Below are 27,041 nucleotides of genomic sequence, written 5' to 3' on the forward strand. Positions count from 1 at the left end.
TGCTGCCAGACAACAGTTGGCTGGAAATAAGAAAGCATCAGTGAAGAGTAAGGAGGTACATAAACTAAACAGTTTCTAGTCTACAACTGTCCAGTAAATATTCCTGATGGAACACACCACGCCTGACAATACTTAATCTGTTAGTTAATTCATGAGGACATACTGATAAAGAGTGAAGGTGTATTTAAATCTCAATTAAATTTTGGAAAATTTGGTAGGAAACACGAAAATACTAACCAATAAGCATGAGTACAAGTATCTGCAGATGAATTATACTGATCTAACCAGTGCATCAGGGCATCATCTGAGACGACCTGTAAAAATGAGAAGAATTTCATTGAAAACAGTATTGCTTTAAATAAACTGGTTACCTAGTCTGGTCTGTAATTCTAGAGGTAGCCAATTTAAAATAATCTCTACACAAAAAGCCTAACCCTTGCTATTAACTGAATCTGAACGCCATTTGAAAAGCTCTGTCATGCTGGTTCCTCTTATGTAATACATTTTTCAAATAACTACTTAACTATAATTGTTTTCAAATCAGAATGGCTACAAATAATAATATAAGGTAATATTAATAAAATAAAACCTAATAGTAAATGTTAGGAAAAGTGGTCGCTTAACATTTTCTATAAATCATTGCAAAATATAAACATAGAGGCATCCTCACAATAAAACTAAGAGGTAGTGAGAAGGGCTTTAAACATTCTAACTTTTGTGATTAGCACTGGAAGCTTCCTTTACTGAAGAGATAAGCTGTTTCAAATAATCATTTTAGGCTGGGCACGGTGGCTCATGCCTATAATCCCAGCACTTTGGGAGGCTGAGGCGGGTGGATCACTTAAGGCCAGGAGTTCAAGACCAGCCTGGCTAACATGGTGAAATTCCGTCTCTACTAAACATACAAAAAAAAACTAGCCAGGTGTGTGGCACATGCCTATAATCCCAGCTACTTGGGAAGCTGAGGCATGAGAATCACTTGAACCCGGGAGGCGGAGGTTACAGTGAGCCAAGATCGCGCCACTACACTCCCAGCCTGGGTAACAGAACCTTAGAAGTTTCTTAAGGCTGGTAACATTAAGACTGTGATATTAGCATAACAAAAGTTGACACTTTCCTTAAACCAGGCTGGGTGCGGTGGCTGACACCTGTTAATTCTAGCACTTTGGGAGGCAGAAGTGGACAATCACTTGAGCCCATGAGTTCCAGACCAGCTCAGCCTCTGCAACACAGTGAGACCTCATTTAAAAAAAAAGAAAGAAAGAAAAAGAAAATATAATTTCATACCTAGAAAAGCTATCTTAAACAATTTCAATATATTATAAAATAAGTATTCTTTTTTTTTTTTTTTTTTTTTTGAGACGGAGTCTTGCTCTGTCTCCCTGGCTGGAGTGCAGTGGTGCAATCTCGGCTTACTGCAAGCCTCCTCCACTTCACAGGTTAAAGTGATTCTCCTGCCTCAGCCTCCTGAGTAACTGGGATTACAGGCATGCAACACTACGCCTGGCTATCTTTTCTATCTTTAGTAGAGATGAGGTTTCGCCATATGGGCCAGGCTGGTCTCAAACTCCTGACCTCAGGTGATCCAACCGCCTTGGCCTCCCAAAGTACTAAGATTACAGGCGTGAGCCACTGTGCCCAGCTAAAGTAAGTATTCTTTTTTTTGAGACGAAGTTTCGCGCTTGTTGCCCGGGCTGGAGAGCAATAGCGTGATCTTGGCTCACTGCAACCTCCGCCTCCCGGGTTCAAGTGATTCTCCTACCTCGGCCTCCCAAGTGGCTGGAATTACAGGTATGCATCACCATCCTGGGATAATATTTTGCATTTTTAGTAGAGACGGGGTTTCTCCATGTTGGTCAGGCTGGTCTCGAACTCCTGACCTCAGGTGATCTGCCCACCTCGGCCTCCCAAAGTGCTGAGATTACAGGTGTGAGCCACATTGCCTGGCCCAAAGTAAGTATTCCTATATAATATAATGTACAAATGAAAAAATACCTTCTTATATTTCTTTTTTAGATCAGCATAAATTTCTAATTTGAGCTGCTTCCCAGTATTTGGTCGATAAACTAAGAAAAGTTTCTTTTTAGGATTCACTTCTTTAACTAAGATGGCAGTTTTCTTGTTGTTCCTTATCTGTTTAAAGAAAATGACAAAATATAAAGATTTTATAATACACACTTTAAGACATGTTTCTGTACCATCACGTCAGCAAACATAATCATTTGAGACTATAACACTAAGTAAGTACACGGTAACTTCAAAAAGGACCGAAAATGCTTGTTTAAAAGACTAACACAGTCACACCCAAGAGGCAGTTATTGGACCTTAATTCTGGCTAAAGATGAAGGTTAAAGACCAAAGTTATCTTCAGAAAACTACGTGGAATTAGCTTTAATGCACAAATGTCCAACACAGATCATTTTGCTTCTTTTATTTCCTGTACCTGGAATCCCAGTCAAGCAGCCTCAGAGAGGTAAGAAAAACCAAGTGTAATAAAATGTTAACAGTGGAATCCAGGCAGTAGGCATTAGGGGTCTTCAGAGAAAATTCTTTAAGCTCTGCTGTATGTTTTTAAACATTTCTCAGTAAAATGGAAAAAGAAATGTTACTCTCCTTTCAAGTTAACAATAGAATTCAAGCCCCTCCAAGATAAGGCCTTGGATGGCCCCAGTCCTCTGCACTTGTCTACTCCGTCAGTACTGCCTTTCCCGATGTCACAGGGTTTTGAAGGGCAAAGTGAGAGATCACATGATAAAGTGTTCTGTAAACATCAAAGCTGCTATGGCAGCAGAAAGCAAAAATGTTGAACAAATTGTCCACACATATGGAGGTAAAAATGGAAGAAAGGGAAGCATTAGAGAAATGTTGGAATTTAGGTATGTATTTTTAACTTTTTTTTTTGTTTTTGAGACAGTCTTGCTCTGTCACCAGCCTGGAGCACAAGGGCGCGATCTCGGCTCACTGCAAGCTCCGCCTCCCAGGTTCAAGGCGATTCTCCTGCCTCAGCCTCCCGAGTAGCTGGGACTACAGGTACTCACCACCATGCCTGGCTAATTTTGTATTTTTAGTAGAGATGGGGTTTCTCCATGTTGGCCAGGCTGGTCTCAAACTCCTGACCTCAGGTGATCCACCCGCCCCGGCCTCCCAAAGTGCTAGGATTACAGACGTGAGCCACCACGCCTGGCCTATTTTTAACTTTTTAAAGTTGGATTTATGAGAAAAACTTTAAGAGGAAGGAGTTACTCTTAAAACTCCATTTAACTCAAGGAAAAACAACTGGAAAATTCATTTCTTCTTTATAAAGACTGAACAGCTTCTAAACAATCATTTCTGGAGCAAAACGGAAGGAAAAAGAAAAGTTTCAAAGTAAAACCATTTTCCCAGCCCTCTACACAATAAATCATTGTTTGCGGGGCTATTAACTTTTTATATTCATTCTTATAATGAAAAACACAATATTTTACTTTCCTCTTCATGGATATTAAAGACCCTTGGTCTCTTACTTTTTCCAACGAATTGAAACATTGTTTATATAATTACTGTAAAGTCATAAAACAATGGTTAAGGTGAAGATTATATTTAAAATTATTTATCAGCTGACAGGAAATATCCAAACCTATACTTAGAGGATAGTGTTTAAGACACTTAACAATGGGCTCTGTCTTGACAGTGTCAGGTTAATTATACATCATCACAGAACAGTGGAAAGTGATTCTGACATTGTTTTCCCAATGGCAGCACAGGCTACACACACTGAAAAGTATGGTGGCCTAATGCAGTGGAGGTTCAAAGGCAAACGAAGACCAGGAATGAGGTCTCTAGGACCACCACTCCTCACGCCCAGCCACCTGTTGCCACACAGAGAATGAAGGACCAGTATTATCACATCCTTCAACCTAAGAGAAGCTGGGGATCAGGACTTTCATCACAATCTACCAACGGTGATATTCTGGCAATAATTTCAATTTAAAAATAATAACCAAGAGCCAGGTGCAGTGGTGCATGCCTGTAATCCCAGCTATTCAGGTGGACAAGGTGAGAGGATGGATCAAGCCCAGGAGGAGTTCGAGACTGTCCTGAAAATAACCAACACCTTATGTGGACCAATCAAAATTGCATCTATGGGGGATAGCCGAGTAAAATACTTGAATTCTACCAATATCAACATCTTGGTTGTGATATTACACTACAGTTTTAAAAAATATTACCACTGGGGTAACTGATAAAAGTATGCAAGATGTTTATCTGTACTGTTTCTTATAATGACATGCAAATCAACCTACAGTTCAATCAGTATTTCAAAAACCCCAAAACCAGCAAGGCACAGTAGCTCACAACTGTAATCCAGCACTTTGGGAGGCCGAGGTGGGAGGATCATTTAAGCCTAGGAGTTTGAGACCAGCCTGGACAACACAGTGAGACATCAACTGCATTAAAAAAAAAAAAAAAAAAAAAAGCCAAATGTGGTGGAGTGTACCTGTGGTCCCAGCTACTTAAGAGGCTGAGGTGGGAGGATTGTCTGAGCCCAGGAGGTTGAAGCTGCAGTGAGCCATGATCACGCACGCCACTGCTTATCAGCCTGGGTGACAGAGCGAGCGAGATCCCATTACAAAAAACAAAACCAAACCAAAAAACCCCAACTCAACTAGGAGCCAGATCCTTTGAGAGCTTTTCTCTAGGTCAAGGATCAGCAGCTTAGGCCTGTGGAATAAATCTAGCTTGGCACTCCTAAACTGAAGTAAGATTAAGAAGGAATGAAGGAAGGTGGGAAAAAAAAGAGAAAGGAAGGAAGGAAAACACAGAGGACATGCAATATAGACCACATATGGCCTACAAAACCATACATATCAGACCTTCATAGAAAAAGTTTAGCAACTCCTGCCCTAGATCATTTATGACTTCATCCTGCCTGTGCCATCATCATACATGTAGGTACTTCATATGAGCAAGAACCAGGTCTTACTTGCAGTCACTCCATAAATATTTGTAAACAGAAAGCAAAATATGTTATATACAACCAATGAAATATTACTCAGCCTTGTAAAAAAGAACGAAGGGGCCAGGCAGCGTGGTTCACACCTGTAATCCCAGCACTTTGGGAGGCAGAGGTGGGAGGATCACTTGAGGCCAAGAGTTTCAAACCAGCCTGGTCAACATAGTGAGACACCATCTCTACAAAAGAAAAATTAAAAAATTAGCCACATGCCAGGCGCGGTGGCTCATGCCTGTAATCCCAGCACTTTGGGAGGCCAAGGCAGGCGGATCACCTGAGGTCAGGAGATCGAGGCCATCCTGGCTAACACAGTGAAACCCTGTCTCTACTAAAAATAAGAAATTTAGCCAGGCGTGGTGGTGCGTGCCTGTAGTCCCAGCTACTCGGGAGGCTGTGGCAGGAGAATCGCTTGAACCTGGGAGGCGGAGGTTGCAGTAAGCCAAGATCGTGCCACTGCACTCCAGCCTGGGCGACAGATTGAAACTGCCTCAAAAAACAAAACAAAACGAAACAACACAACCCCAAATATCTTAGAGAACTGGCGAAATAAAATTTCTGTTGTCTTGGATCTGAGTAAGTAAATATGAAACTCAAGATACTGCTGAATATCTACATACTGTTGAGTATCTACACATACATGTATAGATGTGTGCGCACACACACCCCTTAGTTCTGTCCACAGAGACAAATCATAACTGAAAGAATGTAGCTATTTTACTAACTGAAAAATGAGTCTTAAAGATATAAAGCATTATTAAGACTAAAGTAAGTCTCTGTCTTATGAAAAATGCTTAATTTAAGAAAATGTTGGCCAGGTGCAGTGGCTCAAGCCTGTAATCCCAGCACTTTGGGAGGCCAAGGCGGGCAGATCACGAGGTCAGGAGATCGAGACCATCTTGGCTAACACGGTGAAACCCTGTCTCTACTAAAAATACAAAAAAAATTAGCCAGGCGTGGTGGCAGGCGCCTGTAGTCCCTGCTACTCTCGGGAGGCTGAGGCAAAGAGAATGGCATGAACCCGGGAGGTGGAGCTTGCAGTGAGCCGAGATCGCACCACTGCACTCCAGCCTGGGTAACACAGCAAGACTCAATCTCAAAAAAAAGTTAATTCAGCCAGGTGTGGTGGCTCACATCTATAATTCCTTTGGGAGGACAAGGCAGGCAGATCACCTGAGGTCAGGAGTTCGAGACCAGCCTGGCCAACATGGTGAAACTTCACCTCTACTAAAAATAAAAAAATTAGGCTGGGCACAGTGGCTCACGCCTCTAATCCCAGCACTTTGGAAGGCCGAGGCAGGCAGGTCACCTGAGGTCGGGAGTTTGAGAACAGCCTGACCAAAGTGAAGAAACCCCGTCTCTACTAAAAATACATGTCAGCCAGGCCTAGTGGCACATGCTTGTAATCTCAGCTACTCGGGAGGCAGAGGATGAGGTGAGCTGAGATCGTGCCATTGCACTCCAGCCTGGGCAACAAAGAGCGAAACTCTGTCTCAGAAAGAAAAAAAAAGAAGAAAATGTAACAATTCTAAACCCACACCTAATAACATCCTTTAAAATGCATTAAGTAAAAACATAACACAAATGGACAAACACACAATTACAATGATAAATTACCAAAATAGACAAAGCTAAACACAACTGGGAAACAGGTACAAAGTGAAGAGACAATTACAATGCTGGCCATTAAAAAGTATTATATATCTGAATAGAATTTAAAGGAAAAGTCGTACTTGCAATGACAAGTAAAAGCCATCGTCTGGTCCTGTCAGCTCAGCCCAAATCTTGGTAGCTTCCTCCCATGACATTCCCCTCTCTACACTAATCTGTAAGAGAAACAACGAAATTTAAACTCATTTCTGTAAATGCATCTCATGGGAAGACGATACTTCACAACATTTTCTAAACTTACTGTGTATAATTCTACGTGGCCAGAGGTTGAATATCCTGGAGTCAGAAACTTTTTAACATCACTTTTCCGCACTTTTTCATCTCCAGAACCAAGATCTTGAACAAGAAAAAGAAACATGTAAATGTAAAAAGAACATTTTTATCAGGTACACACGTTTAAAGAATTTCTCCACTCCACATTTTCCCTGGGGACATTGTGGGGGGGAAATTTTCCCTACTTACCTAAGATTCCCATATCATATCTTCCATTTTTTTTGGCATTTTGAACAACTGCAGTAAGTGTGTCCGCAAAATACTGAAATAACGCATTCTGCTGATGCACCTCCATGCCTAAAATTCTATTTAAGAATTTTCCTATGTTGTTATAATCTGTAATGACAAAAGATAAACGTTTTCATGCAAATGATAATTAAAAATTTTTTATTCATCTAGGCTTAGTTCAAGTCCCACTTTCTCTTCTAAAAGTCTTCCTTCTTAACTCTTACACTGTCCTCACAACAAGGCTGTAATCTGCCCATTTCTCTCTCTAGCAATTAGCACCACTGCAGGACACGCTCAAAAGAGGTTTGTCAAATTGAATTTTTGCATCTTCAGCCTCACTTATGGAAAGTATGAACACAATTCAGTACATAAGAAAGTTAGTTCTCCAACACTGAATTCTCAACTGTAGTGGCACTATTAGAATGTCTGGGAGCTTTGGAAAACTACCGATGTCTGAGCTCCACCCGACTTCAGTAATTTTTCGTTTTGTTTTGTTTCTTGAGACGGAGTCTTGCTCTGCTGTTGCCCAGGCTGGAGTGCAGTCATGCAATCTTGGCTCACTGCAACCTCCCCCTGCCAGATTCAAGCAGTTCTCCTGCCTCAGCCTCCTGAGTAGCTGGGATTACAGGCGCCCGCCACTATGCCTGGATAATTTTTGTATTTTTAGTAGAGACAGGGTTCCACCATCTTGGCCATGATGGTCTTGGACTCCTGACCTTGTGATACGCCTGCCTCAGCCTCCCAAAGTGATGGGATTACAGGCGTGAGCCACCGCGCCCGACCAATTTTTTTTTATTTTTTTAGACGGAGTCTTGCTCTATTGTCGCCGAAGTTGGAGTGCAGTGGTGCAATCTCGGCTCACTGCAACCTCTGCCTCGCGGGTTCAAGTAATTCTCTTGCCTTAGCCTCCCGAGTAGCTGGGACTACAGGCACCCGCCACCAGGCCCGGCTAATTTTTGTATTTTTAGTAGAGATGGGGTTTCATCATATTGGCCAGGCTGGTTGCAAACTCCTGACCTTGTGATCTACCCACCTCAGCCTCCCAAGGTGCTGGGATTACAGGCGTGAGCCACCGTGCCCAGCAGACTTCAGTAATTTTTAAAAGCTTGAGAGCTGATCATATCAGCAGCCAGTGCTGAAAACTGCTTCTCTATGCATGGATCTTTTACACATACCCCACAGCAGCCAAAACCACCCAGAATGTTTTAAGAACATGAAGCTTCCCCTTCAGCTCAAAAGCATATATCATAATGGACTTTAATACTATAGCAACAGTTATATGCCCACACAAAGCTAATAGTAGTACCTTTATCGAGAGTAAGAATTCCCGAGCGATCTTCTACATTTATCAGGCCAACGCCTATCAGTCCTTGTCGAACATCTGTAAGAACAGGATCAATTCTGACTCATAAATTACAAGGGATGTCTACAATGTACCACTAAGTGAGAAAAGTATGTTGTAAGTAGTATCATGCCATTTTAAAAAAACACCTTGATATTTATATAAACATGGAGAAAATGTGGAGAGAACTGCCCTTGTTCACTCTGTCATCTGTGACCTAAGAAGGTGAGAATGGAAGGAGGGTTAAGGGGACTGTATTAACTCTCTTCATTATACATGTTAAGATTCTTTTCTTTTTTTTTGAGACGGAGTCTCACTCTGTCACCCAGGCTGGAGCGCAGTGCGCGATCTCAGCTCACTGCAACCTCTGCCTCACGGGTTCAAGCAATTCTCCTGCCTCAGTCTCCTGAGTAGCTGGGACTACAGGCTAAGTTTCATATTTTTAGTAGAGTCGGGGTTTCGCCATGTTGGCCAGGCTGGTCTCAAACTCCTAACCTCCGGAGATCCACCCGGCTCGGCCTCCCAAAGTGCTGAGATTACAGGTGTGAGCCACTGCGCCCAGCTGCAAGATTACTGTCATTACTTATAATAAACAAGTAACCTATCTATCTATCTATCTATCTATCTATCTATATATATATATATATATATATATATATTTTTGCGACAGAGTCTGACTACGTTGCCCAGGCTGGAGTGCAATGGCATCATCTTGGTTCACTGCAACCTCCGCCTCCCAGGCTCAAGGGATCCTCCCACCTCAGCTTCCCGAGCAGCTGGAACTACAGGCGTGCACCACCGTGCCTGGCTAATTTTTTTTTGTAATTTTTTTAGAGAGGGGGTTTCTCCATGTTGCCCAGGCTGGTCTTGATCTCCTGAGCTTAAATGATCCACCTGCCTTGGCCTCCCAAAGTGCTGAAATTACAGGTGTGAGCCACTGCGCCTAGCCATAACCTGTAATTTTAAGAAGTTAGAAGTAAATCAAGGAATCTTTTTTTTTTTTTTCTGAGACAGGGTCTCTCTCACCAGTCTGGAATGCAGTGGTGCCATCACAGCTCACTACAGCCTCCACCTCCTAGGCTCAAGCAATCCTCACACCTCAGCCTCCCAAAGTGCTGGGATTACGGGCATGAGCCACTGTGCCCAGACCAGGGAGTTGTTTCTGACACTCCTGATGTCAAAAGGAGTGAAGGTGTAGGGTTAAGACTTTACTGCTTTTGTTGAAAGCCGAGAGTAATGATGAACACCTCTAACTGGTATGTCAATATGAACTGTTAACAACACATATCAGTATGTGCTAATCTACCAAAAGGACTTCCTAGTGAAAAATGCTAACTCCATCTGGGTGCCTTGGCTCACATCTGTAATCCCAGCACTATGGGAGGTTGAGGTGGGAGGATCACATGCGGCCAGGATTTCAAGACCAGCCTGGTCAACATGGCGAAACCCCATCTCTATTGAAAACACAAAAATTAGCCAGGTATGGTGGCGGGCACCTGTAATCCCAGCTACTCGGGAGGTTCAGGGAGGAGAACCCTTTGAACCTGGTGGCGGAGGTTGCACTGAGCCAAGATCACACCATTGCACTCCAGCCCAGGTGACAGCACGAGACCCCGTCTCGAAAAAAAAAAAAAGGACATTTCCAAATACACGAAAGAAAAAAGGCTAAGCTATGAGCCACATGTATCCATCACCCAGTTTAAACAACTGTGAATTCATGGCCAATTTTGTTTCATCCAAACCTCCCACCCCAACCAATCAATCCTCACAGATTATTTACCTAGGTACTTTTTCAACTTTAAAATTAAATTGAATTTTAAAAGCTATTTGGGGCTGGGCACGGTAGCTCATGCCTGTTAATTCCAGCACTTTGGGAGGCTAAAGCGGGCAGATCATGAAGTCAGGAGATCGAGACCATCCTGGCCAACATGGTGCAACGCCGTGTCTACTAAAAATACAAAAATTAGCTGGGTGTGGTGGCATGTGCCTGTAATCTCAGCTACTCAGGAGGCTGAGGCAGGAGAATGGCTTGAACCTGTTGGCAGAGGTTGCAGTGAGCCGAGATCATGCCACTGCACTCCAGCCTGGCGACAGAGCAAGACTCGGTCTTAAAATAAATAAATAAATAAATAAATAAATAAATAAATAAATAAATAAATAAATAATTTTTAAAAAAGACTCGGTCTTAAAAAAAATAAAATAAATAAATAAATAAATAATTTTTAAAAAAGGCTATTTGGCAAAGTGATTTTACTCAATGTACTAAAACAACTTTCCTCTATTAAATCTCTTATTAGACAAACATGCTTTCACCATATCAACAGTAAGAGCACTTTCATTTGAATAAAATTTGCTTTAATAAATCTGTTTAATACAAGATAATTATGTGTCCTAGTAACCATTAATTTCAAAGTTTTATACAATTTATGTCCAAAGAAAAAAACTAATATAACAGCAAACATTACAACAGGTTTGAGTACATCTTTGTCAATAATCATTGTCATTGTTATGAATATTTGTAGAAGTTACCTTTAAAAAATTCTCCAGGATAGTCTGGAGGTGGTGATACCATAGGAGAATCCAAGTTTACAATGGATTTCATGACAATTTCTAAAGCATTTCTTCCATACTGCAAAAAAAAATCAAAACCTTTAACCAGTTTCAGCATTTGGATACTCTTCAATCACATGACCACCTAAATACTATAAAAACTACTGGCTGGGTGCGGTGGCTCATGCCTGTAATCCCAGCACTTTGGGAGGTCGAGGTGGGTGGATCACCCGAGGTTGGGAGTTCAAGACCAACCTGACCAACATGGTGAAACCCCATCTCTACTACAAAAAATTAGCTGGGTGTGGTGGCAGACACCTGTAATCCCAGCTACTTGGAAGGCTGAGGCAGGAGAATTGCTTGAACCTAGGAGGCGGAGGTTGTAGTGAGCCGAGATGGCGTCATTGTGCTCCAGCCTGGGCGACAAGAGCAAAAAACTCCCTCTCAACAAAACCCCAAAAAACCCACAAACTTATTGTACCAAAGATTCAAAAAAGCAATTCTCAATTATCTTTATATGTATTTATTTATTTTTTCTTTTTTTGGAGACAGAGTTTTGCTCATCGCCCAGGCTGGAATGTAATGGCACGATCTCTACTCACTGAAACCTCCGCCTCCTGGGTTCAAGCGGTTCTCCTGCCTCAGCCTCCCAAGTAGCTGGGATTATAGGTGCCCGCCACCATGCCCAACTAAATTTTTTTTTTCTTTGAGACGGAGTCTTGCTCTGTTGACAGGCTGGAGTGCAGTGGTGTAAACTCGGCTCACTGCAACCTCTGCATCCCAGGTTGAAGTGATTTTCCTGCCTCAGCCTCCCAAGTAGCTAGGACTACAGGCGCACACCACCACGCCCAGCTAATTTTTCTATTTTTAGTAGAGACAGGGTTTCACCATGTTGGCCAGGATGGTCTCGATCTCATGACCTCGTGATCCACCCACCTCGGTCTCCCAAAGTGCTGGATTACAGGCGTGAGCCACTGTGCCCAGCCACGCCCAACTAATTTTTGTATAATTTTTTGAGACAGAGTCTTGCCCTATTGCCCAGGCTGGAGTGCAGTGGCATGATCTCGGCTCACTGCAACCTCCGCCTTCCAAGTAGCTGGGACTACAGATGCATGCCACCACGCCCATCTAATTTTTGTAGAGATGGGATTTCACTATGTTGGTCAGGCTGGTCTCGAATTCCTGACCTCAGGTGACCCACCTGCCTTGGCCTCCTATATTCTGGGATTATAGGTGTGAGCAACTGATCCCGGCCTAATTTTTGTATTTTTTTTTTTTTTTTAGTACAGATGTGGTTGCACCACGTTGGCCAGGCTGGTCTCGAACTCCTGACCTCAAGTGATCCACCTGCCTTGGCCTCCCAAAGTGCTGGGATTACAGACATGAGCCACAGCGCCTGGCCTTTATATATATTTTATACTGCCTAGTTCATGTCTCTACACATAAAAAACATGAGAAAAATTAACTTCCTTTGCTTCTGAGAACTCACAGTTAATTCAGTCTCATTTATTCTTGTTTTCCAAAAGGAATAAAGACAACTACATTGCTGTACTGATACTTAACATGCGATCTAACATACATGTGAAATTCTGTCTTATAGGAAGCCATGATTTTAAAGCAAATGCATAGGAGAGGCAGTTTTGTTTTAGACAGTAACTACTTTCCTTTTGTGTTCCCGAAAGACACCATACACTATCACAAGTTTTCAGAGATACTGAAAATTGAAATGTACCTTATTATCAAAGTTGAACCTGCTCAGATCTCTAGATTCTGTTGCCCTTCTATCACCATGTGTAAGTGCCCCCTGTTAAAAACAAAAATTTCAATCAAGGCACAGGTAACCTTTTACCAGAAAACAGGTACAATAGATCATCATTTACACACAGCCACACAACTCCAAAACTCACCAAACTCTCAAGTCTTTTAGCAACAATAGATGCAAATCTTTGTTCTCCTGCCAGTTCAGATATCAGAAAGACATACTCAGGAGCAGTAACTTGGTTTGATCTATGAGTACGTCCTGCAACGAAATTTTGTTTTAAAGATCATTGATTGTGTTCGCTGGACAGAGAATATTCTGAGATGTATTCCTAGCATTTAACACTAAACTGGTATTGGGAAACCACTAAACAATAAAAATTACAGATAATGTAAAATTACCATAACACACATAAAACTGCTCAATGACAGAAGTATTAGCATTGCTACCCCAATTTTGCTTAACCACATGTTACTGATGCACAATTACTCTGGATTTTCCCAAAATTGTTTTTCAAATCATTGGTCACAAGAACATGAAGATGGAGGGAGGAGCTATGGGCCTTTGGTGAAGCTACTGAGGTTGGAAACACATATAGAAGTAGCAGCTTCTCTGATATGGACCTAATACATCCTTAAGTTTTATAAGGACACTCCTTGAGGAACCCTGTTCTTGGAACCCCACAAATTCCCACCACATATATATTTTTTACAACTTGTAAACAAGCAAAAAATGAATCCACAATGCATCATATACTATAAAGTATATATATAACACTCCTTAAATGCAAGATCTGAGATTTCGAGATAAGATATAAGACATTAAACAGGATTTTTTTGTTGTTGTTAGAGTTTCGCTCTTGTTGCCAAAGGTAGAGTGCAATGGTGTGATCTTGGCTCACTGCAACCTCCGCCTCCCGGGTTCAAGCGATTCTCCTACCTCTGCCTCCTGAGTAGCCAGGATTACAGGCATGCACCACCACGCCCGGCTAATTTTGTATTTTTAGTACAGACAGGGTTTCTCCATGTTGGTCATCCTGGTCTTGAACTCCCGACCTCAGGTGATCCACCCACCTCAGCCTGCCAAAGTGCTGGGATTACAGGCGTGAGCCGCTGCGCCCAGCCTGTTTTTGTTTTTTGAGACAAGGTCACGCTCTGTCACCCAGGCTGGAGTGCAGTGGTGAAATCATATCTCACTGCAACCTTGAACTCCTGGACTCAAGTAATCCTCCTACCTCAGCCTCCTGAGTAGCTGGGACTACAGGCACACGCCACCACACCCAGCAAGTTTTTCTTTTCTTCTTCTTTTTTTTTTTTTTTTTGAGATGGAATCTCCCTATGTTGCCCAGGCTGGAGTGCAATAGCGTGATCTCAGCTCACTGCAGCCTGCGCCTCCCAGGTTCAAGCAATTCTCCCGTCTCAGCACCCTAAGTAGCTGGGATTACAGGTGTGTGCCAACACACCCAGTTAATTTTTGTATTTTTAGTAGAGGCTGGGTTTCACCATGTTGACCAGGCTGGTCTCAAACTATTACCTCAAGTGATGCACCCACCTCAGCCTCCCAAAGTGCTGGGATTACAGGCACGAGCCACTGCTCTCAGCTGTTTTTCTTTTCTTTTGGTGGAGAAAGGGTCTCACTGCGTTGACCAGGCTGGTCTCAAACTCCCGGACTCAAGTTATCCTCCCACAGTGGCCTCCCGAAATGTTGGAATTACAGGCGTGAGCCTCTGTGCCCGGCCTAAACCTAGGTTTTGGTATGCGCAAATTTACCCCAATGATTCCTAGCTATCCATTAAGTGAAATCCAGTTTGTAGGAACTTACCGAACTGTTGAATTGCTCTATCAGCGCTCCAAGGTAATTCTAAAGTCATATGAACTCTTCGCCTTTGATTTTTAGCTCTCCTATCTGCTTGTAATGAAATACCCGAGCTGGCAGCTTCTGAGATGATAGCAATATTCTGTGTCAAATATAAGAAAAATAAAGTCACTTTTGCATAAGAACAAGCAGGCCAGTGCCTTAAATGAAGTCCTTCAGCAGACTGCCTATTCTCTCCTTCTTTCTCAATAATGAAGACTTCCAGTTTTATTTCCCAGTCTCCCTTACGGCTAAGTGTGAACATTCTCCAGCCAGCAAGGTGTAGGTAAAATGTATGATGCACAGGAAATGTCCTTAAAAGTAGGCGACATGCCCTTCTCATCCCCTTGTCTCCTCTCTGTTAGGTAAAATGTAGAGGTACTGACAAGAGTCTGGAACAGGTATCTTGGAATACAAAGGTAACTTGGAAATGGAGGCCCACATAATTTAATGAACAACACGGAAGATGCCTGGACTTCAAGAGGGCATACAAGCCCTGCTCCACCTACCCAAATGTGTCCATGAGAGAAATAATCTATCTTATTGAAGTCAACACTTAACAGACTTTGTATTTTCTGTTATTTAACAACCAAAACTAATTCCAACTAATGTAATTCCTAATGCATATGGGCCTAGATTCATGAAGCAATTATATAAAATAACTAATACCTGTACCTACAATCTTGAAAATACGTAACATTATCTTTTTGTATATATATATTTTTTGAGACAGGGTCTCACTCTGTCACACAAGCTGGAGTGCAGTGGTGCAATCATAGCTCTCTACAGTTTTCACCTCTCAAGCTCAAGTGATCCTTTCACCTCAGCCTCCTCAGTAGCTGGGACTGTGGGCATGTGCCATCATGTGACTATTTTCCCTGTACAGGGCAGGGTCCCATTATGTTGCCCAGGCTGGTCTCAAACTCTTGTAATCCTAGTACTTTGAGAGGCCGAGGCAGACGGATCATTTGAGGTCAGGAGTTCAAGACCAGCCTGGCAAACATGACGAAACCTTGTCTCTACTAAAAATTCAAAAATTAGCCAGGTGTGGTGGTGTGTGCCTATATTCCCAGCTACTCAGGAGGCTGAGGCAGAGAACTGCTTGAACCCGGGAGGTGGAGGTGGCAGTGAGCTGAGATCCAGCCTGGGGGACAAAGTGACGGTCCTTCTCAAACAAAGTCTACAGAAAGAGTCTCTGGGCCAGCACAGTAGCTCACGCCTATAATCCCAGCATTTTGGGAGGCAGAGGTGGGTACACCACTTGAGGCATGGAGTTCAAGACCAGCCAGGTCAATATGGTGAAACCTGTCTCTATCAAAAAATACAAAAATTAGCCAGGCGTGGTGGCGCGTGCCTGTAGTCCCAGCTACTCGGGAGGCTGAGGCACAAGAATCACTTGGACCCAGGAGGTGAAGGTAGCAGTGAGTTGAGATCATGCCACTGCACTGCACTCCAGCCTGGGCAACAGAGTAAGACTCTGTCTCAAAAAAAAAAAAAAAAAGAGTCTCTGGAGGCACCCAAAATCTCTACAATGGTTGGATATGGGAATGTAATCTGTAAGCCATTTACAGTAAATCGTCTTAATATAACATGACATAGCAATAAAATAAACAGTGAAACCAAAATTACTAGTAATATGGACACACATAAATATTTTAGTCTCAAAATCGGAATGACATTAGATGTCACAACACCAAGATGAACTAAGGGAACGTTTTTTTTTTTTTTTTGAGACAGTCTCACTCTGCTGCCCAGGTGGAAATGCAATGGTGCAGTCTTGGCTCACTGCAACCCCTGCCTCCCAGGTTCCAGCTATTCTCCTCCCTCAGCCTCCTGAGTAGCTGGGACTACAGGCACATGCCACCACACCCGACCAATTTTTGTATTTTTAGTAGAGATGGGGTTTCACCACCATGTTTGCCAGCCTGGTCTTGAACTCCTGACCTCATGATCTGCCCATCTCGGCCTCCCAAAGTGCTGGGATTACAGGCGTGAGCCACCACGCCTGGAGAAAACACAGTATTTTTATATCATGATTAAATATTTCAAAAGCCTCCAAAGCACTCAAGAGCCATATCTGATTCTATGCATTACACACAATACTTATTATATTCAATGATAAAATAATAAAAACATGCAAAATATTCAGTGAGTAAAGGCAATTACTAAAAAAATTTGTGTAATAGCTCTGTTGCACAGGCTGGAGTGTAGTGGTGCGATCTCGGCTCACTGCAACCTGCATAGCCCAGGGTTAAGCTATCCTCCCACCTCTGCCTTCTGAGCAGCTGGGACTACAGGCATGCACTACCACACCCAGCTAAATTTTTGTATTTTCAGTAGAGACGGGGTTTCACCATGCTGCCCAGGCTGGTCTCAAACTCCAGAGCTCAAGTGATCTGCCCACCTTGGCCTCCCAAAGTGCTGGAATTACAGGCCTGAGCCACTGCACCCAGCCAATACTTACTATATTCAATGATAAAATAATAAAAACACGTACAATATTCAGTATGTACAATTACTAAAAAATACAGAATGACAATACTCAATGGACATGACTTATATTAAAAGGAAAAAGACTCTTCTAAAGCTTAATCTAAATATACAGGCATTGTTCTTTTCACTGAGAAGCATCTCAGTAAAACATACCTTATCTCCATCCATAAATCGTTGTTTTTCTGTGATGTTTAGTATTTCCACAGGCACATCAAGTTCAGATCTTGACTCATAAGATATGCTTCCATCATCATTGCTCACAACCCGTCCCTTGCGGCCAGTCATCTGAGAAGCCAAACAATGTCATTACAATGAAGGTATCTGACTGCGGTGGATGGACTCAGTGCCTCTTTCCTTGAAGACACTTGGGAGATAAGAGCACAGGCTGTGCTGCACCACACACTGAAGGATACAGAACACTGCAACAGAGTCCCTGGAAAAACCTTGACACATGGCCACGATCACAAAAGATGCGTGATAAGTGCAGTAACTAGGACCAGTGGCTTGGGACAGACACTCAGATACTGCAGGCAGCAGTTCATTGGATGTAGGATGGCAACTAAAGTAGAACAAGAATTCTATGATCTAAGAAATTTAGATTATTATGTGAAGACAGTCAAAATACAACTCATTTTACAGGGGTTCAAATGGCAAAAATGTCACCAAGAGATACAGGCCTATTTACCTCAGCAACGTTCTCAGGGCCACCAAGTTCATCGATAAGTTCATCCAGGGTATTAGGGGGGAGGTCTTCAGCTAATTTTTCTAGCTTATCAAGCAGGTCTTTCTTCATCTGCTGAGCCCTTTCCACAGCATCCTGACTTGTTATAAGGCTACTGTTACTGTTGGTGTTACTGTTAGCTAGATAAAGAACATTTGCTAAAAGTTAGTACAAAGTTTAAATATTTTTGTTTAAAACAGTATTTCAAAAAGGAAGTTTCTGTATGGATACCTGGTGTACTGTTAGGAGCAGGTGAGATAACTGGTGTAGATGAAAAACTAGGTCGTTTTGATCCAAGACCTGATGCTAATAAGGCACTTTGAATAGAATCTGGATCTATACTTTTCTTCTTTTTTTTCTCTTTGTTTTTCTTGTGGTCTTTTCTAATTAACCAGGGATCTGAGTGTTAAGGAAAGATACATGTCAAATCATTTGTTAAAACAAGTACAGAATCTTCAAAGGAAACAACCTTTGAAATTTTATTTTTTTGAGACAATGTTTCGCTGTTGTAGCCCAGGCTGGAGTGCAATGGCGCAATCTCAGCTTACTGCAATCTCCACCTCCTGGGTTCAAGCGATTCTCCTGCCTCAGCCTCCTGAGTAGCTGGGATTACAGGTATGTGCCACCACACCTGGCTAATTTTGTATTTTTAGTAGAGATGGGGTTTTTCCACGTTGGTCAGGCTGATCTCGAACTCCCAGCCTCAGGTGATCCACCCACCTTAGCCTCCCAAATTGCTGGGATTACAGGCATGAGCCACCGCGCCTGGATGAAATTTTTTATATTGTTAACTGATAACTTATCACCACCTACATTGGTTCATCCATACACCATGGGGTACAAATCCATGTTTTCAAGTTAAAAATAACTGCACAAAATTGAGGTTATCTTCTCACATATATGAGGCTCAAACTTCCAGAAGGTAGATAAGCCTGGAGCTTTCCACCAAGCAAAGATTATAATCTGTGTGATCATTTGTACTGTACAGAAGAAAAGGTTTCATATCCCATTTTCAAATATACTGAAATATTATATGCTTTCGTGTATATTTAATATACTGAACTTACCATTTTCATCATCCTCATTAGACTCATCTAAAAATGGGTTGAAATCGTCATCATCTCCAGAACTCATGTTTTTAGAGCTCTCATAGTCACTTTCTTCATTATCAGAGGCATCAGATTCACTTCCACTGTCGTCAGAACTGCTACCAGTAAGGCCACCTACTTTTCGTGCTTTTTTGGCTTCTCGAGTTATTTCTTCACCTACCCTCCGCCACAAACAAGAGAGTCAGCCCAAATTCAATGTTTCTTAAGATCCAGTACATCACATTTAGTTCATGAATTAATTCAAATGAAAAGTGCAGAGGAAAAGTATTTAGGTTAAGTCAAAAAACAAACAGAATTCACAAACCAGCACTAACCTTTTGGACTCCCATAAAAAATAAGGTTATAAACATTTATTCTGAAGAAGAAATTGGATACAAAAGTACTAAGTCAAGACTGCCTTCAAGTGCACAAGTTTCAAAACATATTCAGGACAACAGAGTAAAAGCAGAACCTCTGGCATAGTCACAATTTGACTGTGTATCAGATTTGAGAAGAGGCCTAATAATTACAGGTTTATAGACATGGAATACTTAGAAAATCAATAGAAAATCAATTTATAAAACCTTTTTATTTTTGGAGACAGGGCCTCACTGTTGCCCAGGCTGGAGTGCAGTGGCACAATCATAGCTCACTGCAGCCTCGACTTCCCTGGCTCATGTGATCCTCCCACCTCAGCCTCCCAAGTACCTGGGACTACAGGCACATGCAACCATGACCAGATATTTTTTTTTTTTCCCCAGACAGTGTCTACTCTGTCTCCCAGGCTAAAGTGCAGTGGCATAATCTTGGCTCACTGCAACCTCTGCCTCCCGAGTTCAAGTGATTCTAATGCCTCAGCCTCCCTTATAGCTGGGATTATAAGGCGCCCCTGCCGCCAGTCCTGGCTAAGTTTTTAATTTTTAGTAGAGAAGGGGTTTCGCCATGTTGGCCAGGCTGGTCTCGAACTCCTGACCTCAGGTGATCCGCCTGTTTCAACTCCCAAAAAGCTGGGATTACAGGCGTGAGCCACTGTGCCCGGCGAGAAGTCAACTTCTAAAACCAAAACAGGGCTGGGCGAGATGGCTCACACCTGTAATCCCAGCACTTTGGGAGGCCTAGGTGGGTGCATTGCTTAAGCTCAGGAGTTTGAGACCAGCCTGGCCAACATGGTGAAACCCCATCTCTACTAAAAATACAAAAATTAGCAGGGCGTGGTGGTGCATGCCTGTAATCCCAGCTCCTTGAACCCAGGAGGCAGAGGTTGCAGTGAGCCAAGATGGTACCACTGCACTCCAGCCTGGGTGACGGAGACGGAGACCCTGTCTCAAAAAAAAAAAAGAAAAAAAAAGAAAAGGCTCTTTTAAAGAAAACTACTGAAACACCCAGCTGTCTATATATTAAAGAACAGGTCTGACAATACAAAGACACAGGTTTTAGTTCCCATGCATCATTAACTATCTCTGTGAAACTAGGAAAACTCTTTAATCTTTAAATCTTTCTGTGCTTCAATGATCTCTGTCTATAAAATTGGAAAAATAAGACCTAATTTCGTATGGACCTCTGCCAGGTTATATGGTAGAATGTATATAGCCAAGTGCTTAACACACTGCCAACCACCAGTGAATTGCTCAATTCCTAATTTAAAACGGGGATAACTTGTGCATTCAAAATTGTACAAGTGACAGTGAAAATTTGGAACCATTTGTGAATTCATGGAAGGCAGTTCATTCCCAAAATATAGCCACTTTAAAATGCTTATGTTTTAATTTCAACAGTATTTTCAACGTCAACTATTTTCTTTTTTCTTTTTCTTTTTTGAGACAGAGTCTCGCTCTGTCATCCAGGCTGGAGTGCAGCAGCGCTATCTCGGCTCACTGCAAGCTCTGCCTCCTGGGTTCACGACATTCTCCTGCCTCAGCCTCCCGAGTAGCTGGGACTATAGGTGCCCACCACGATGCCCGGCTAATTTTTTGTATTTTCAGTAGAGATGGGGTTTCACCGTGTTAGCCAGGATGGTCTCGATCTCCTGACCTCGTGATCTGCCCACCTCAGCCTCCCAAAGTGCTGGGATTACAGGTGTGAGCCACCGCACCTGGCCTATTTTTTCTTTTTTAAAGTGCTCACCTTTCCGCTTCTTTATTTTATTTTCTTTACAAGGACTATCTCTTGGCGAACTGTTGTTACTTGGAGCTGTCAAATCGATTCCTAGTAAACTATAAAGTTTTTTCCTGTCTGGAGCAGGAAAATGTTTTTCAATGAGTGACTGCAACACACCTCTGTAGGAGAGAAACAGTGACAATTACTGCTTCAGTTGACAAAATAATTATATGTAAAGTATTATTAAATATATTGAAATATACTTTGTTCAGTTTTACAAAATACTGATAAACGAGCTCAAATAAATTTTAATTTTCTAGCCCAAAGCTGTCCAACTAAATAATAAGAATGCAAGCCAAACCACATACACAATTATTGTATTTTCTGGTAGCTTAAATTAAAAAAGTAAAAAATAAATAAAACTGGTGGAACTAATTTTAATAATACATTTTAACTCAATATACCATGTCAACACATATGTTTTATGTTATTTTCTCTTAAGGAGTCTTTGAAACCTGGCTCAGTACACATATAATAACATCTCAATATGGACCAGTCATTTCAACTGCTCAATAGCCACATGTGACAAGCGGCTGCCATTCTGGACACGGTAGTTCTAGGCAATTATGTACAGAAAAATATAGATTAGCAGGTGTATGTCTTGCTTTTTTCTTTTTTTTTTTTTTTTTGAGACCGAGTCTCTCTGTCACCCAGGCTGGAGTGCAATGGTGCCATCTCAGCTCACTGCAACCTCCGCCGCCTGGGTTCAAGCAATTCTCCTGCCTCAGCCTCTCCAGTAGCTGGGATTACAGGTGCCCGCCACCACGCCTGGCTAGTTTTTGTATTTTTAGTAGAGACGAGGTTTCACCGTGTTGGCCAGGCTGGTCTCAAACTCCTGAGCTCTCGTGATCCACCAGACTCAGCCTCCCAAAGTGCCTGGATTACAGGCGTGAGCCCCATGTATTGCTTTTGAAAGGAGCATCTGAATGCATCCCGAGGCACAAAATAGTAGAGCAGCAAGTTTATTTTGCTCAGTTTACTACCAGAGTTTGAATGTGGAGGTTAGGCAAACTAAAAACAATGCCTAAAACATTTTAAAATCTATTTCTGAAGATCTCATGCTTATTTTCAACTTTTAAAGTAGACTTTATTTTATTTTATTTTTTTTTGAGACAGGGTCTCACTCTGCCGCCCAGAGGGGAGTGGAGTGGAGTGGTGCGATCTTGGCTCACTGCAACCTCCACCTCACGGGTTCAATGGATTCTCCTGCCTCAGCCTCCCAGGTAGGTGGGACTACAGGACGTGTGCCACCATGCCCAACTAATTTTTTTTATTTTTAGTTGAGATGGGGTTTCACCATTTTGGCCAGGCTGGTCTCAAACTACTGACCTCAAGTGATGTGCCCATGTTGGCCTCCCAAAGTGCTGAGATTACAGCTGTGAGCCACCATGCTCAGCCAACTTATAAAGTAGACTTCGTTATATTAGGACAAACTATAGTTACTGTTCCTGTGGATAACGGTAATTTCAAATACAGTACACTAAAACTGAATCTAAGCCAAGCTGTCACAGATTTCCAAGATGTACAAGATAAACAAAGTCTAGCCCTTCTGTTAGTTCACATACTCTGTGTAATATTAGCAAAATGCTTAACATTTTAGGATTATGAGATTTCTGTTATTGTTTTCCAATAGATACACTGTTACAGAAAAGCAGAAAACTCAGATCAAGAAAACTTAAAGATGATGCAGGTGAAACAAAAGTTTTGTCTCCAGGAAATGCCCACATTGGAACTAAGGTAAGGAAGAACTCAAAAAGAAACAAAAACATTAAAAGAACAAAAACATTACTTGGCAGTTGAAACAAAATCATTCAATTCTCCCCCGCCCTCTTCCAAAGCTTCTAATGTTCTAGCTTCTCCTGTAGACTGCAGACCAATTACAACACACTGGAGAAAAAAGAAAACATGTTAATTATGAATAATAATGTTTGTGGCTTCTTACCAAGACATATTTTAAACATTTAGCTAAACAAAGATTTCAAACAAGAATGTCCTCATTATTATAAAACACAAATTTGTTTTACTTATTTCTTCTACATATTTGAGACAGGTTATTTGTCAAAAATTTAGGCAGGAGATAGGATTACAGACAGTAGTAAGCATGAGTGAAGCCCCTGCCCTTGTACAGTTTATAGTATCTTATGCTTTAAGTAGATAAATATTCACCGAAAAGAAAAAACCTTAACGCAATACACATCCATATGTTACCAGTGCTACCAGCTATGGATGACCAATTATAGTGATGTTTACTTTGTTATACTTTTCTGAACTCTCTAAATTCTCTAAGCAGGCATTGCTTTTATAATTTTAAGAAATGTATTTTTTAGAAGTTTTACTATCCTTTAGGAAAACCAGATTTTACAAGCAGAAAACCTCAGCACCCACAAAGACTAAACAACATAACCCCCAAACAATCTCTTAATGAGTTCTTCTACTTACTTTTCCATTCTTGATTTCCTCTCGAGCTAGTTGCACAACCCTTTTAACTTTGGATGCTATGCATAAGTATTTGAAGAACCTCTGGTGAGCAGACCAGAACTGACCCCACATGGACTTCTTCATTCGTTGCTCAGCATCAATCAGATCTGCAGCTTGCTGAAACCGCTCTCTGGCGATGACCCACTGAAGATACATAATCAACATTTCAGACACTTCATCTTTGAGTCTAGTTATTTAAAAATACCAATTAAATCAAAACAATGTTAAGTGCAAGACCATTTAATATTAATTTAATAAATCATCTTTAGTAACTTGGGAATCTATTTCTCAGGATACTCACACAGTTGTCTCAAGTTTCTTATTACCTAATGCAGTCATTTTAGAAAATAATGTGATTTTAAGAACTATGCAACTGAAATAAATGGCTATAACTTATGAATTACCTTAACAAAATGAAAACATGGACAATCTGAAATATAAGAACATTGGTTAGGCCAGGCGCAGTGGCTGATGCCTGTAATCCCAGCACTTTGGGAGGCTGAGGCAGGTGGATTGCTTGAGCCCAGGAGTTCCAGATCAGGCTGGGCAACACTGTAAAACCTCATCTCTACCAAAAAATACAAAAATCAGCCAGGCACATTGACATGCGCCTGCAGTCCCTGATACTCAGGAGGCAGAGTCTGGAGGACTCCTTGAACCTGGGAGGTAGAGGTTGCAGTAAGCCAAGATCACACCACTGTACTCCAGTCTGGGTGACAGAGTAAGACCCTGCTTCAATTAAAAACAAAAACAAAAAAAAACACATTGGTTAAACAGCCTATCATCTGGTAACTCATCTGTTTGTTTTTGTTTTTTGTTTTTGTTTTTGTTTTGCGATGGAGTATCCCTCTGTTACCCAAGCTGGAGTGCACTGGCACCATCTTGGCTCACAGCAACCTCCGCCTCCTGGGTTCAAGCGATTCTCCTGCCTCAGCCTCCCCAAGTAGCTGGCACTACAGGCGCACACCACCATGCCCAGCTAATTTTTTTTCGTATTTTTAGTAGAGATGAGGTTTCAACATGTAGGCCAGGCTGGTCTTGAACTCTTGACCTCAGGTGACCTGCTCGCCTCAGCCTCCCAAAGTGCTGAGGCATGAGACACCGTGCCTGGCTTCATCTGTTGTTTTATAGTAGAAATACATTCCCATGGGCAGGAGGCATCGCAATCGCCAAAACTAACAGAAACATTATCAGATACATTAAATAAACACTAGGAATTAAGAAAAATTCCTCACCAGCTTGACAGCTTTGTTATACATTTTAACGTAGCTCTGAGAAAGAAGAACTTCCTCAATTTTGAAGGTCACTCCAGTAAAGCTCAGTTGTCGAGCAATGTACATTCCTCTAAGCTTCATATCCATAGCAACTATTTCCATGGCACCAACTCCTCTGAATAAAATTAAAACATACAGTAATTACCAATACAGTAGAATTTTAACATACAGAGAATGGGCTTTAGGAATAACACACTTCTTAGATTGCTACTGAGAAGAGTATATACCGTAAACTGCATTACCTCCGTTCTACTGCTTGAATAAAATCACTGAATTCTCTAAATGGAGTACCCTCACCCCATATGCCAAGACGGTTCATATAGGCCATGTTGCGTGGTTCAGAAGCACCTGAAAATCCCACAAATGAAATATATTATAGTTGAAAAAATAACCTACAATATATATTTTTAAATAAATAAATACTCACCAGTTGCACTAGCATAAACAACTCTGGCTTTTGGCAATTTGTTCTGAAGCTCTAAAACTGCTAAGCCTGTCTTGGTTGGCTTTGAAGAACCAACAGGACATAAGTTTTTGGCTTTATGACACTCATCAAACACTATCTAAATGGAATGAGTTAAGGAATGTATCACATTAGTATTAAGTAAGAATCTCCAGTCTTTCAAGAAGAGTTAACTTTTATTTCCCTGAGGCCTTCTGATTGCCTATTTCATGACTGCAAATACAAAGGAAGTCCTATGGGCCTTTCCCCAGTTACATCCTCCTCCCTCTCTAGCCTCAAAGACATTCACTGAATTTGGAATTTAAACCAGCAATTTGCCTCTAAATTAAAACAGAGAAAAGAACCCACTGCAGCAAGAAGTTGTTATCTGGTAACTTGTAAAAGTAGAAGCATGATTGGTAACCAACTTAATCAGCATTTCAAAAAGTGATGTTCCTCATGCAGGACAGTTAAAAGATATACTGTGAACAAGTTTGGGACCACTAAGTTCTAACAGTTTTCTTTCACTTAGTCTTCTCGGGTATTCTGCTATGTAAATATGCAATGTTAATCCTCAAAAGGGGAATACAGTATTCAGTATTCCTCATATCTATTAACATTTTTCTAAACCAGGAGATTAAACATTGGTCTCCTATCTGACAGGTAAAAAACCGAATCAACTTTCCAATCCCTTTGGACTCTAGGTAATCATTAAAGTTTTCACTCCAGCAACTCGTTTAATCTCAAGATTCCTGTTTCCCAAAGGTCTACCCTTTTATAATTTTCTTGTCGTTAAAAAATAGAAAAATATTTGCCATAAAGGATACCACTCCATCGAAGTCATCACCGCACCAATGCAGAAGTTGTTTTAACCTAGTTTTATACTTGCCGCCAGACTGGCTTTCACCAATAAGTGAAGAGTAAGTAGCAAAAATAACACCCTTTTTCACACTCCCATTATGTTTGGAAGAAATTTTTCCGTATTTAAACTAAAAAAGAAAAGAAAAGAATTTAGTTAATTAGTATACCTTTCTCTCTGCAACATTCATCCCAACTAAACATTCACAAGCAGGAACTCTTGTTAGGCCCATGACAGGCTTCAGAAAACATAAAAGTACAGAGACGCAAATTTATTTGTATAAATGTACACAACACAAACACACAACTTTATAGTACAAAAATCCAGTTTTTGGTAGGACACAGTGGCTCACACCTGTAATCCCAACACTTTGGGAGGTCAAGGTGGGTGGATCGCTTGAGCTCAGGAGTTCCAAGACCAGCCTGGCCAACATAGTGAAACCCCATCCCTACAAAAAATACAAAAATTAGCCAGGCATCGTGGTGCGTGTCTGCAGTCCCAGCTACCACAGGGGCTGAGGTGGGAGAACTGCTTGAGCCTGGGAGATGGAGGTTGCAGTGAGCCGAGATTGTGCCACTGCACTTCAGCCTGGGCAACAGAGCTGAGATCTTTTTTTTTTTTTTTTAAATCCAGTTTTCAAAGTCTTAAAAACTTTTATCATCACAAAAAAAAACATTAAAAACCAGACAAACTTCCCTATAAGAATAAAAAGTCACAATTTACAAACATTTATTGTGCACTTACTATATGCAAAACACTGTGATTAATTTCTGATACATAAGAATTATGAGTAATTGTTAATGTGCCTTTCTAATACTACTCTGAAATTTAAAAAAAAAATTCTAGATGCCACTTACATCCT

The 27,041-nt window shown here is 41.5% G+C and overlaps 1 protein-coding gene across 2 annotated transcripts in view; it reads right to left on the bottom strand.

Moving 5' to 3' along the window:
* SBNO1 (strawberry notch homolog 1) overlaps positions 1 to 27,041 on the bottom strand; it is a 75,739-nt gene that overhangs the window by 13,478 nt on the left and 35,220 nt on the right. For both annotated transcript variants that reach the window (NM_018183.5, NM_001167856.3), the window contains exons 10-30: positions 26,148 to 26,309; positions 25,306 to 25,441; positions 25,121 to 25,226; positions 24,840 to 24,993; positions 23,566 to 23,748; positions 22,916 to 23,013; positions 21,094 to 21,245; positions 18,949 to 19,146; positions 18,113 to 18,280; positions 17,846 to 18,021; positions 17,314 to 17,445; positions 14,635 to 14,770; positions 12,962 to 13,074; positions 12,787 to 12,858; positions 11,034 to 11,133; positions 8,469 to 8,543; positions 7,124 to 7,270; positions 6,903 to 6,997; positions 6,724 to 6,816; positions 1,996 to 2,133; positions 238 to 314 (exon numbers count right to left, since the gene is read on the bottom strand). In NM_018183.5, the coding sequence (NP_060653.3) occupies positions 238 to 314; positions 1,996 to 2,133; positions 6,724 to 6,816; positions 6,903 to 6,997; positions 7,124 to 7,270; positions 8,469 to 8,543; positions 11,034 to 11,133; positions 12,787 to 12,858; positions 12,962 to 13,074; positions 14,635 to 14,770; positions 17,314 to 17,445; positions 17,846 to 18,021; positions 18,113 to 18,280; positions 18,949 to 19,146; positions 21,094 to 21,245; positions 22,916 to 23,013; positions 23,566 to 23,748; positions 24,840 to 24,993; positions 25,121 to 25,226; positions 25,306 to 25,441; positions 26,148 to 26,309 (2,711 nt within the window). The remainder of the gene's footprint in view (positions 1 to 237; positions 315 to 1,995; positions 2,134 to 6,723; positions 6,817 to 6,902; positions 6,998 to 7,123; positions 7,271 to 8,468; positions 8,544 to 11,033; positions 11,134 to 12,786; positions 12,859 to 12,961; positions 13,075 to 14,634; positions 14,771 to 17,313; positions 17,446 to 17,845; positions 18,022 to 18,112; positions 18,281 to 18,948; positions 19,147 to 21,093; positions 21,246 to 22,915; positions 23,014 to 23,565; positions 23,749 to 24,839; positions 24,994 to 25,120; positions 25,227 to 25,305; positions 25,442 to 26,147; positions 26,310 to 27,041) is intronic.

Source organism: Homo sapiens, chromosome 12, assembly GCF_000001405.40.
Source record: "Homo sapiens chromosome 12, GRCh38.p14 Primary Assembly".
In the NCBI taxonomy this organism is placed as follows: Eukaryota; Metazoa; Chordata; class Mammalia; order Primates; family Hominidae; genus Homo; species Homo sapiens.